General features: G+C 38.2%; 1 protein-coding gene across 5 annotated transcripts in view; it reads left to right on the top strand.

Annotated features, from left to right (window-relative positions):
* ELL2 (elongation factor for RNA polymerase II 2) overlaps positions 1-12038 on the top strand; it is a 76754-nt gene extending 64716 nt beyond the window's left edge. For 4 of the 5 annotated variants that reach the window (NM_012081.6, XM_017009240.3, XM_047416959.1 and 1 more), the window contains 4 exons: positions 1445-1508; positions 5862-6033; positions 8006-8050; positions 8149-12038. In NM_012081.6, the coding sequence (NP_036213.2) occupies positions 1445-1508; positions 5862-6033; positions 8006-8050; positions 8149-8265 (398 nt within the window). In that variant the 3' untranslated portion in view covers positions 8266-12038. The other variant, XM_017009239.2, reaches the window with a different exon arrangement.
* Positions 12039-13909: the final 1871 nt, after the last annotated feature.

The following is a 13909-nucleotide window of genomic DNA, read 5'->3' as shown; positions in this document are numbered from 1 at the left end:
GTGCTTTTCTTGATCTAGATTGGATACATTGCATGTCAAAGCATTTCTGTTTAAATATTTCAGTCAATATAATACTATGTAATGGCACAAAAGGTAGGTGTAAGCTTTTTCCCTCAACACTCTTATAGTTGAATTTGTCAGGTCAGGAAAAGAAATGAAGTAGAACTCTATGTTCAGAGTTCATAAGCCACTGGGTAAACTCCACTCTCCACACTTTCCACCCTCAGGTGGTGCTTCTGAGTCAAAGGCTAGAGACAGGAAAACTGGATTTCAGTATGTTGAGATCTACATCAGAGTTCCAAGTGTTCTCAGAGTTGGAGACCTGGAGAAGCAGACTTAGTCTCTTTGAATTCTTTACTGAGGATATAGTAACTTTCAGAACCAGTTGCGATAATTACAAAGTTAGGAAAGCTCTAGACCCACATCCCCTGCATTTTTTGGAATTTATCTGGTGTCTATGGCAGAAGGGAAGCCAGGTGACCTGCACTTGATGCCTTTCTCTTTAAGACTCAGACTATCGTAAAAGCATGTTCTTTTACCCAAGCATGAATTTATAGGTGAGCAGCATGCACTCAGAGTCTATGTATTAATATTTGTTTAGGGTACTTTGTCCTTTAAAATATTAAACCGAGAAATTACCTAACATTCACTTTTATATGTTTTGCCAGTGGGCATGATTAGGGTTTGAGTTATCAGTTTAACCCTACTTTCAATGATAAAAAATTACCCTGATAAAGAATCTAAACATATCCTCTGGACATGGTGCATTTAAGCAAATGGCATACTGAGGGATTTACATACTTTCACTGTGTAGCCACAATGTTTAGCACTTCTTTTGTCCTTAAAAAAAAAAAAATCTGTTTAGTGTTATGAGTGCTAGAGATTATAGGAATATAAATCGACATTCAATAATACCTTATTTTAAATTACTTTAAACCAATGGGAAAACTTTCTACCAAATTCCACTGTCTGCATACAAAAAAGGGAGGCAATAAAAATACAGTGACCAAAGCAGTCGGCTACCTGACTCTATTGTCTCATCCGCCTTGTTTGAATCCCATGAAAAGTAGATGTTGATGTAAAATTTGTATCTCCCATTGTCTGGCTGCATCTGCCACCACAATCTTTGAATTGCTGGGCAGATGCCACAACTGTTGTTGAAAGAATAGAAGACTGACCTTGGGTTAAGATGGAATTCCTTTATTGTGCAGACACTGCAGTAGCCAGGGTGCTTTAAATGCCTGGCGTCGGTTCTGCTGGCGCTGGTCATAGGGCCTCTATTGTTCATGTTCAATTGTATTCCTTGCTCACTGTTGCTTATTGAGATGGAAGAATAGAATTTGAGGAAAAGTGTTCCAGATGTTTCTAATCTATTTTAGAATTACAGGCATTTGATAACCTTCGTAGTTGATGAATGCTCTGATTTTGTTTTTTTTCTTCATAGGAGTTAAAGAGGATTGCACTGCCTCCATGGAACCTTCAGCAATTGAACTCCCAGATTATTTGATGTAAGTTCATATGTCTGCCAATGGAGAGAGCGGCTTAATTTTAGAAAGTTTGCAAATTCTTTTCCCATAATTTGCAAATCAGAAAAGTAAGAAGTTCCAGAAATAGAGTCCTGGAGCCACCCTTGCAATTGAAAGGCTGCCATTTAGCCTGCTCATCCCAAATCTACCCTTGTCTGCATGAGCAGGTTGTGCCTCCCCCCGCTCTGAGCTGTATTCGTTGGCCTTTAAGTATAGAGAATCCTGTCCTTTGTTCTGGGGCCAGGCTAAGCATTTGATTATGAAAGATTTTAGGGATCTGACTCTTCAAAGCTGACAGTCTTATCAATGCACAGTCATTCACTTGGGTCCCCCAAAGGGATGGTTTACTGCTGACAAAGTGCTTGAACCTCTGCACATAATAATACAAAGTGTAAAGATAGATTGATTTTTATTTAAGTTCTGCCCTCAAATTAATTTTTAGAGGAGATAAGAGTAAAATCTGATCATTTCAATTTAGTAATGGTTATAATGTTTTCTTGTTGTGACAACAAGTTGCTAAATGCTGAGCTGGGGACATTTTTGTAACTGGTTATCACAGAAATTATAACTTGGACACATAATTCTAGCTTTTTTGCAGAATAAAAGGCCTCTGTAAGAAGAAAATAATTAAGTTGCAAGAGCCTGGAAAAATGGAGAGGGAAAGAGCAAACAAATCTGACTTTGGATAGCTTTGAAAATGAACAAATGTGCAAAATAGCTAGAATGTAAAAGGGAAAATGGAATCTGGGCTGTCTGAACACTTTTTTTCTATTAGTAGCATCTCATGGTGGACAATGTTAAACTATGCTGTTTAGCCCTTTTCATTTCCAGAGTAAAGATCATTTTAGATTTAAAATGTGTTACTTCTGCTTAACAGTAGTGTGAAAGCTATACTTATTGGGGAATGATACAGTATGAAACCATAATGCTGGTTATCATCTCTTAACTAACAGGAACTTGAGAAACCTTGCTGAGTACCCTCTCATCTGAGGTAGTGTATGGTTTTAGAGTTCTCTAGGAGGGCCTTGAAAGGCAGCTATCACCTACCACTTAGTTGGCCCAGGAAGGGTCAGTTGTCTGCAGCCAGTCTTCCAGGACAGCCTCTGGCTCTGCTGCTGAGGGGGTTCACCTCTTTAACTGCAAACGACTTCTCCTTAGAAGTCTTTAAATGTCAGCCCCCTTGAGTAGCAACTGCCAATGCAGTGCTCTTGTTCTTTTTTGAATTCTTTTTTATAATAGTGACATATACTTATTATATACGACAGAATCATGTGGGGAAACTAAAAAACAATGCTAAACTTTTGCCCATGGATTCAAGGCTGTTGTGTTTTGCCAAGTTCATTAGTTAATCCCCCCTTTTTTTGTTTTTGAGACGGAATTTCGCTCTTGTTGCCCAGGCTGGAGTGCGATGGTGCGACCTCGGCTCACTGCAACCTCCACCTCCAGGGTTCAAGCGGAGCCTCCCAAGTAGCTGGGATTACAGGCGCCCACTACCACGCCTGGGTAATTTTTTGTATTTTTAGTAGAGATGGCGTTTCGCCATATTGGCCAGGCTAGTCTCGAACTCCTGACCTCAGGTGATCCACCCACCTCAAGCCTCACAAAGTGCTGGGATTACAGGTGTGAGCCTGGCCTTAATTTCATATTTAAAAGGTTTTTTCAGGTTACTTATCTAAGGATGGTTCCTGGATCTGCCTTGGTGCATTTCTGTATGTTTGTCATGTTTCTAGTACTATGTGATTGTTCGCTTAATTTATTTAAATAAACACAATTTATATTAACTAAAAACTAGTCTTACATAGATATAGCAAATTTTCTAAAAATAGTGAAAAAGCGTGGATTTTCAGAAAAATTACCAAAACTACAGAACTTAAGTTGCCTCATAAGAAAACTAAAGGGATATACTATAAAACCTAAATGATCGAGGCCGGGCGCGGTGGCTCACGCCTGTAATCCCAGCACTGTGGGAGGCCGAGGTGGGCGGATCACGAGGTCAGGAGATCGAGACCATCCTGGCTAACATGGTGAAACCCCGTCTCTACTAAAAATACAAAAAATTAGTCGAGCGTGGTGGCGGGTGCCTGTGGTTCCCAGCTACTGAGGAGGCTGAGGCAGGAGAATGGTGTGAACCCGGGAGGCGGAGTTTGCAGTGAGCCAAGATGGTGCCACTGCACTCCAGCCTGGGCGACAGAGCAAGACACCATCTCAAAAAAATAATAAAAAACCTAAATTATCAACCTTTGAATAATTCATACTTAACGAAAATATTTCTAATTTTTATGTAATAAGAATACTTTTACTTGTAGTTAAGCTATCAAAACTGTTTAAAATTTTTTCCATCACCACATAAACAGCCAACTGTAGAACTACAACAATTTTTCGTAAAAGTAGGACAACTTTTTTCTTAAAAATGCCAGTGTAACCAAATAATCTCTTCTATAATAGCAACACAGTTGTTGACCACACAACTGTGGTCATTGAATAATTTCCCTAAGGAAATTATTAAATAAAATACTGAAGGTATGCTTTTGAGAAAGCACGATAAATATATAACAAATTAAGTCTAAGTTTTAAGATCGGTTTAGCTGTGTTGCTAATATATGCTTATCCCCAGGAACCTCTTTTTACCCCGGGGCTCCCTCTGGTGTACAGTCAATACAGCCCATGCCTAGGAAGGACTGCTTCACTGCTTGGCTGGCAGTGTACCTTTTATAGCTAAGACACCAGGAGGGCAGCTTTACATCAGCAGACTATCACTGTCTCAATTATACTTAGAAAATTAAACCTCTACACTGTCTAATTCAGCATGAATAAAAATATTAATGAGGACACTAAGTTTGCTCACTGCATCACTTTTCTCACATTTTCTGCTAGGCGTCTGTGATATTAGTAATTTAAACAAACTGATGGGCTTATATAAGACCATTTGGAGAGGACTGAACTCCAAGATTTTATGGCAGTGAAGAATATATGTGTACCCCCAAGGGGCATCCTGAATCTCCTGCCACCTGCCTGAAATTGCTTTGAAATCTCAATTTTTATTTCAAAAACTCAAGGGAAGTTTGCATTAATGATAGGAACACAGAGTGCAAAGAACCAGGCCAGTTCCTTATGTGATCCCAGTTCCCAGATCTACAAATAAGTAATACTGTAATATGTAATAGGCCAGGCGCAGTGGCTCACGCCTATAATCCTAGCACTTTGGGAGGCCAAGGCGGGTGGATCACTTGGGGCCAGGGGTTCGAGACCAGACTGGGCAACATGACGAAACCCTGTCTCTACTAAAAATACAAAAATTAGCCGGGCATGGTGGCATGTACCTGTAATCTCAGCTACTCAGGAGGCTGAGGCACGAGAATCGGTTGAGCCCAGGAGGTAGAGGTTGCAGTGAGCTGAGATCGCGCCACTGCCCTCTGGCCTGGGCGACAGAGCAAGACTCCGTCTCAAAAAAAAAAAAAAAGTAATACTGTAATTCTAAGTTTAATAATAAAATGCTGTTTTAATTTACTTATTATTGAATAAACTGATGCTCTAGGAAAATGGTCTTCTCTTACCAGTTAAGAGTAATTTACATCCCAAAGTAAAACAGATTTATGGCATTTTATTAAGAAAGTAAGTTGGACTAATAGTACAACACTGGCTTTTGTTCAACATAGTATGACATTTAAATGTTTGAAAAGAACTAGAGAAATATGCCTTTTTTTGGTCTAACCCTCATTTTACAGAATGGTTGGTAATTTCCCTTTTGTGTTTCATGTATTTGCTTGGTCAGAAATATGAGGAAAGGGATAGAGGAAGCAAGCCTGAGGCACTTTGTTGAAGATGTCTGCTAGCAGCATATCTGAAAGGCCAAGCAACAGACTGCCTCTCATAAAGCAGTAGGTCCAGAGAGAGCTTTGACTTTCAGCACTCACGGACTGCGTGACATTCTCCTGGTTTCACATTACCCATTGAGTCCTTCTGTCTCTCTGTGACTTGTAACAGATGGGTTAGCATCCACCATTAGTGTGGTAGTGAATTATCTTGGATAGAGAAAGGTTCAGGAAACTAGATCTGTGTAAATACTGTTTTCTTTTTACTTAGTTGCATTTTAGTTCCATTGCCACCATGTCTTTACCACATTTACTCTCCTTCGTTGAAGCTCTCAAACTCTGTGTAATAATTTTACCTGGAAGATGTTTGGAGGAGTGACCTGGCAGCCAACCAGTGGCAGAGTGGCATTAAACATTAGTGACACATGCATGGATCTAATCTCTAAATATTTGGTTTAAATCTCAGACTTGTGCAATCATGTTTATTGGGTAGCTACTCTCCATTTATCTTTTTTCTTATTAGAAAATATATCGCTATCGTCTCCTATGAGCAACGCCAGAATTATAAGGATGACTTCAATGCAGAGTATGATGAGTACAGAGCTTTGCATGCCAGGATGGAGACTGTAGCTAGAAGATTTATCAAACTAGATGCACAAAGAAAGCGCCTTTCTCCAGGCTCAAAAGAGTATCAGGTAAATGGATTTGTAACTAGATGGGCTGACTTTCATATTTTACCTTCTTTCTTTCCCTGCCCTGCTCAACCTCAGCCATCACAGTGGCCTTTAGAGTAAGTACTCTTGCAGACCAGCCTCGCTGCTGCTTTAGGAAACTAAATATTTGAAATAGTTCTTGAAAATAAATTAACATAGTAAACCTGTATTTCTACCAGTGGAAAAAAACCTTGTGCCACTATAATGTATCACATATTGAGAAAAATACCAAACACAACTAAATAGGAAAAAAAGTTGGATCTTGAGATTCAGCTAACTATTTGATTAATTACACTGCCAACTTAGACTACAGCTCATAGGTCTGGTGCTATCCCAAAACAGTGCTATTTCAAGTATTTTTCTTTAAACCTCAATCTGAGATAGAATAGGGAAGATACAAACATAGGAAATAAAGAGGGCTTAATACACAGAGATTTGGGGTTTAAGTAAAGAAGTTTGCTGCTTCTAGCTACAAAGACGGATCTTTGTTAACCAGTCTTACTCTGTTTTCACTTTCCTACTTGAAGTGGTAATATTACTACAGCTGACAAAGAGCAGGAGATGCCTGCCTGACCTGTCTCCTGATTATTTTTGTAGTTCTTAGCAAAGGGATTGATAGAAATGAGTATTTCCCTCCCGTGTGGGCTAGATAACTTTGTCACACTTCACGGACACAGGTGGTATAGTGGTGCCTCTGTCCCAGCCCACTACCAGTGTTCAGGCTGGAGCCTACGTGAGACAATGGATGAGTTTTCCCACAACAGTAAACAGCCTGAGAGCATTTGTGTCCTCAAGATTCATTATGTCTTCTACTAGAGGGCCTTAATCTTTTTCAACAAGCTGGCGAGAGTTATAGGAGACTGCCAGAAGAATCGGTGTTCAGAGGTGCAAGAGGTTGGTGACATGGTGGTTTGGGGTTTATTTTTTTTTCTATATAGTCATTTATCAATGTATATAATTATACTGAAACTAGAATATAATTCCAAGGATTACTTGGTTAGGAGTGGTTAATATTTGTGTGGCCTTGGGCAAGTTACTTAATGCCTCTTTGCCTTGAATTCCCCATCCATAAAATGGGATAATCATTGAGTTATGAGGAATAAACATAAGTAAGCACAGTAAAGTGCCTGGATCCATGCCTGGTACTTGGTACATACATTAGGCTATTATCCCCCCCAGGCACCTGACTCCCCCCCTCACCAATCCCCACAGAAAATCACTGTTACTGGTTTCCAGTGTATTCTTTCGAAGTGTGTTTATGTGTGTGATATGTGCATGTATGTACACATGGTATAAAATGTATGTACATATCTACACAAGTAATTTCAACATATATACCGTATTTAATTGAATCTAAGGTTTCTTCATTTGTAAGCTACACCATTGTTTTATGCCCAATAACTTAAATTATGATACATTATTATTTGTACTGGTTTCATTGAAATGGGGAGAAATGAGCATCTTACAAGTAATGGAATTCTTAGAATACTATTGTGTTTTTCTCTTTTAAACTAATGGTATCAAGCTGTCCATATTGTTCAGCACTTTGCTTTCTTCACTAAACAATATAATGCATCTTAGAGAATTTTTTTATATTGGTACATAAAACACTTTGGCATGTTTTAATGGCCTCTTAGTATCCTTTGTATAGATTGATGGACATTTCAATTTTGTTTACTGTCTTTTGCTTTACAAACAGCACTACAGTGAATAATCTTGTATATGTGTCATTCACTGGGGAGCAAGTGTGTCCATAGGATAAGTAGAATTGCTGAGTCGATTTTGCATTTACTATTTTGATAGCTGTTGCCACATTGCCTTCCATAAAGATTGTTTCAAGTTACATTCCCACAGTCAATATTTCCTATACTCTTGCTGAATGCATGTTATCTATTTGTATTGCCACACACAAAAGAAGTTGTTCTCTTCTGATTTCTAATATTTAATTTTGTAGAATGTTCATGAAGAAGTCTTACAAGAATATCAGAAGATAAAGCAGGTAGGTATCATCACTGTTGATTTTCTGACCTGTGGTTGAAAAATGTTGTAAATTCTGCAATCTCATTCCTCTTTTTTTTTTTTTTTTTTCATCTGCAGTCTAGTCCCAATTACCATGAAGAAAAATACAGATGTGAATATCTTCATAACAAGCTGGCTCACATCAAAAGGCTAATAGGTGAATTTGACCAACAGCAAGCAGAGTCATGGTCCTAGAACTCTGCTTGGACCAGAAGATGTGAATAAACTTAAGCTTATTTATTTAAAATTCCAAATGAGTTGCTCTAGATTCTAAAAAGGTGAAACTTTGGCTGTTGAAAGTTTCAGTATTAGTAAACTTGAGTTACTTTTTCTTTTCCATTTTACTTTGCTTCCCTGCATTTCGAAGCTGCTCTTTCTGGTCCTCCCCACCACCCCACCCCCAAGACTTGTGTTTGTTAATAGAAATAATTTTTTTAGGTATTGGGGATCCATTGTCTATATTTCAAATCAGTTTTTTTTCCTCAAAAACTTGTGTTTGTTATTAGAAATGATTTTTTAGATATTGGGGATCCAGTGTCCACACTTAAAAGTTGTATGTGTTTAAAAAACAACAACAGTAATGTGCAAGGTGAAATGCTTTTGGATAAACGTAAGCCTATTTTCTGACGTTTCTTAATGCAAACTCTTTGCCTTAAATGGTAGAATATTTAGAAATTTGCACAAAATTAAAAAAATAAACATTGTCTTGGAGGGTTAAAAAATAGAAAGGTGTATGTGTATAGATTCACATACACATATGTATATACAGGCTGACTTGATCTAGAACATTAAATCCGCCCTGCAAGTTAACCCCCCATTGCAATGGTTGCCTTAAGGTGTTTGCTAGTTGTGTACATAGTGTGGTTAATCATTAGCTACACTGCTTCCCACTTGATTAGAGCAATGGGAAGCATACTGTGGCCTACCAGCATCTGGAAGTGTGTGCTCGATCTGTATGTGTGCAGAGGTGGTGTGGATGTGAGCGTGCATGAAGGAAAAAAAGCTGCTACTCCTAGTAGGCCAAACGCTCAGGTTAAACAACTGACGAGTGTTACTGTAGGGTGTTTTTTTGTTTTTTTGTTTTTTTTCTTCTATCAAATTGCTACTTTTGTTGTGGAAGACAAAAGCATTTCCATTTCAACGAGTTTGTCAGCTTTATTAATGTTGGGCAAAAATTGATATGTCATGAAAATGAAACAGATCTATAGTTTTGGGACAAAATTATAAAATGAAATGTGTAGGTAACCTATTTATATACTGCTATAAAGTATTTTTTGAAGAGAGATATGCAAAGAAGCTATTACCTACATAAGAGGTATATTTAAAGATTTTTTTTTTCATCCTGGTGCCAGGAATATAAAAAAGAGTGGATATATTTAACCATAACATACTGTGATTCATCAAACAGCACAAACTTTCATTTCATGGAGTTTATCTGTTGACATTGATTTAAACTGTCACTTGTTTTATCATGTGGGAACATAAGTTATGTGGTCAAAAATATAAGGATTTTGAATTAATGTTGATTCAAGTTGTATTGTCTTATTGTATTGTCTTTTCAAAGTGCTGCCAGTTGAAAAGGGAAGCATTATGTTTACAAATCTGTTTTGAAATGTTTGCCAAAATTTTGGTAGTGTCTTTAATAAAGATGTTTGTCTCCAGCATCCAGAAAAATAAATGAATAACTTTGTTGTGTATCACTGTAAACCAGAAAAATGTTGGTTATCTAGAAAACTTGAGAGAGCATGTAGATTAACTTTTCTCTTTGGAGTTCTAAAACATTAACTGGAAAGATTAGATAATATACTAAATGTATACAGAAGTATACAGACTATACAAAGACTGAAACAAGTCCCTTTTGCACTACAACTCTATAACATTACCGCAGAAATTTTGGTTCTATGTAGCATGGACCTCCTAAGGAATTCTGTTTCTTTTAGCATTGAGATCCCTGGTGCTCTTTTTTTACCTCAGAATTGGTACAATCATTATTAAACGTTAATTTATTTCAAACTTTTTAATTGAAAAAAGGAAAGGGAAACTTAATTGGGGATAAATTCAGGCATCATATTATTATGATAGAGTCTCCTGAGTGGTTCGTCTATAGGTAATGAACTCATTGGTGTTATTTCTTGGACATCTTGGCCTTTTAATCAAAGACTGTGTGCTGCTATTTGCTATGAGCAAGGTTTCTCAAAAGCAAAAGGTGCTTGGACCATTTGGATCACCTGAGTTAGAATCTCTAGGTATAGGGCCCAAGTATCTGCATTTTCACAGGTTTCTTGTAGGTGACTTTCTGCAAGCTAAAGTATGAGAACCATTGGCTTGGATGTAGTTCTAAACTTTTAGGTCTGTAAATCTTGAAATCTTGAACTGAAGGTCAACTATTGGCTTTTTTTTTTTTTTAATGTCCATCATGTCAGCAGGTGCAAATCACTTTTCCCCTTTGCATGATCTGAGGCACCTCCTCAGTTGTTTCACTGCCAACTCTTGTTTCAGAACCTGTTTACAAACAAGCCTTCCAGTTGGTGAATGGTTAGCCATTGGAGCTCCTACCCTGTACATCAGCACATCTTCTGGTTTACAAGTTGGGTAACAATGAAAGCTGGAGATGCTAAATGGAAATCCAGCATTGCATACCCTTAGACCTGATCACATACCAGTAAAAGCCTTAATTTAGATGTTAGTTGTATGTGTTGGACAGATCCTTGCAAAAGTGTGTCTGTCTATTAGTTGTAAATTTGAAAATTATAAATCTCTGAATCTGCTACTATCCAAGTTTCATCCCTTTTGAAGATGAGGCATGAGCCTATTAAAATATTTATAATCATTTTTCGTCCCCTACTGCAAGACTTTTAGATTCTTACAAATGATTACTACAGGAATAGTGGCCACTTAATGTCAGTTACTCCGGTGGAAGAATTTATCTAGTTTTTTTTCTTTTCTTTTTTGGAAGGATGGTGTGAAAAATAGCAAGATTAGAGAATGAGTTGTATAGTTTTTTCTATCACATTTCATCTAAAATGATTTGAAGGACTTTTGAAGATTTTTACCAACATCCTTAAATCAACTCCAGGTTGGATGAACAACTGATTTAAAACAAACTAAGAGAACATTAACTAGATGTGGGCTTTTTAAAATATATAGGTATTGCATTTCCTACCTTGTTATTTATTCCACTTTGAATACTTTAGAGGGCTTAACTTTCAACTCTTTAAGGTAGTAATGGATAGTTTTATACTTGTTCTCACAAAATTGTTATGGTCAGTTTATATCATTGCTCCATGCATTGATTATAAAAATTCAGTATTAATTTTTTCTGATCTTATAAGCTTTATAGGAGTTTTCTTTTCTCTTATAAAGTGTTTCACCTTATGTAAAACAAATGCCTGCTTGCATATTGGAAGATGTTGAAATTAGTTTTAGACAAAAGTGGTCCATCAATTCAGACACTCTGCTTGGATGCCTTACCCTTTTCATTAGTGCATTCTTTGCTTCTGAAACTTGGCAGAAACTCGTTAGCCAGTCCACTGCCTTTCTGACAATGTGTGGAGTCACGTATGCTTGGTATATGCCTTTACTACTTTTAAAGTTCTACAGTTTATTACTTGCCCAAGTGTTACTAAATCCTTTTCTTATGTGTACTGGATGGAGAAAAAATTATAGCCAGCACTTTGAGAGGAAAGTTTTCAGAAACAATATTAACTGGCACTACTAACTGAAGGCCACAGGAGATGCTATCAATGTTATTTGTAATCTGAAGATTGAACAAGGCTGTGAGGCTCATTTCAAACTATTTTGAGGTGTTAAAATATATATATGCTGTTTCTCAGCTGTTCCACTCAAACCGTGTTAGGACTCTCAAAGGTAAAATGTCACAGGGGCTTTTCAGTTGTTACAGAGCTCAGCAGCTGTGGTTGCCCCTGTTCTACACCAATTTCAGTTCAATAAAAATGTTAACTTTGCAATTCTGGTACTTGTTTTTCCTTTGTCTCATTTCAAGCCTCTTTGTCTTAAAAACAAACAGAAAGAGCCTATGACAAAGTATTAGCAGAGATATTACTTGTTAGGGCTCTAGGAAGTGGGAGCAGGGAATTTGCTCCAGGGATCTTTTTCTAAGTGTAGGACAGGCCCTCCAGGGACAACTTCTACTAGGGGAACAATAATCATAGTTACCATTTATGGAAGGTTTCCTTTTTGTTACACATTTTTGCTGCATTATCCCATTTCTCCTCACCACCTGTTATCTCCATTTTACAGGTGGGCAAACTAAGTCATAAAGAAGTTAAGAAACTTGCCTATCACACAGCTAGTAAATGGCAGAGCCTGGGAAGTCTGACCACAGCATCTGTGTTCCTAACCACTTCTCCATCCTGGGCCTCATATGTTTATATAGGATAAGACTAATCTTTTCAAAGTGACAATTCCAGTGATACCACATATGCTAGATAAGTCCTTTTGGTTCCAAAGGCTAGAATGTGGGGGTCGGAGTGATTTCTAGTGGATTATTTTGGGGGAGTTGATTTATTGGAAATGACAGAATACATTTGAAGGGAGACTAGCACACTTTTTGAGAAAACGTTGTTTCCCCTATGTTCGCTTTACTTTTGGAAGTGTACAGTGTTAACAATGGGGTATTTGAAAGTGGGCGGTGGAGGTAGGAGGAAAGGGTACAGTCTCGTAATCATATCATTTTCTCTTCATACCAAAAGCCTATCTCAGAAACAGACTCCAGCTTAGGGGTATCCAGTCTGAGAAGACATAAGGGCATTCTCCCAGCTGAATCCTTAACCTCCAGTTTCTAAAAATCTTCTGAAGGAATAATGGAGGAGGAAGGGAAGAAAGCCTCAATCAAACATTGGTATTAAAAACCCAGAGTGAGTAATGTGGGCGGTTCCTCTGGTCATATTTACAAGAAGCCTCAAGGATGAGTGAGTTTCACAACATGACGGTCGGGAGCCCTCCCCAGTCCCTTCTCCCACTGGACCTTTAACAGGCTCCTGTCCTCAGCTGTAAAATGAAAATATGCTTTTCTTACTGAGGCGTGGAGGGGTTTCAGTATTGTTTATAAAAGCACATGGGAATTCTGTGAAAAAAATCGTTCTTTACAGATTATCGGCTGAATGCAAGAAGGAGTGTTTCTTGAAGCATTACTTTCCATATGAGAATGAACTCATTTTGACTGATTGCAAAGGGGACAAAGGCAGTAGCTAGAGGTTTCAAGGTGAGGTGTTTGGGGCTTGTTTTATTGAATGCTGGGTGTACATGTACCTGCTCTACTGGTTTTACCTTTCTGAGACTGGGACAGAAAGCTGACAGTGGTAGTGGCAGTAGGAGGCTCTGATATGATTGCTTAATTCTCAAGTTGGGGATCAGATGATTCTGCCAGGTGCAATGGTGGAGATGTGTCATTTCAACTCCTGCTTGCCTCATTCAACTGACCAACCTGGCTGGTTTTTCTTACTGTAATTAAATGGTTGGTACAATGTGAGCATTTGTAGATGGACAATAAGAACTTCACGTCTGTCTAGGACTATAAATGTAGAAGTGTGCTCCCTGCAGATGAGCCCACATAATTGGCCAGCATGTTTGAGTTCTACAGCTGGGGCTTCTAGAAGCATGCTGACTGCCCTTCCATACTTGCTGAATTCCAAATAGGCTTACAGAATCCCATTGTGGAGTACATGGATAGCATGATCTACCTTACCAGTCTCGCTGCCTCTTCCTCCTACTCTCCACACACCAGTCACACACACCTTCCTTCAGGCTCTCCAGTACTCCTTGCTCCTCCTATCCCAAAGGCCTCATGTGCTAAGTAGACTCTGTACCACCAATACCA

The sequence above is a fragment of the Homo sapiens genome, chromosome 5 (genome assembly GCF_000001405.40).
Source record: "Homo sapiens chromosome 5, GRCh38.p14 Primary Assembly".
Lineage (NCBI taxonomy): Eukaryota > Metazoa > Chordata > Mammalia > Primates > Hominidae > Homo > Homo sapiens.
The sequence above is the reverse complement of the archived record's forward strand: the minus strand, read 5'-3'. Positions and strand labels throughout refer to the sequence as shown.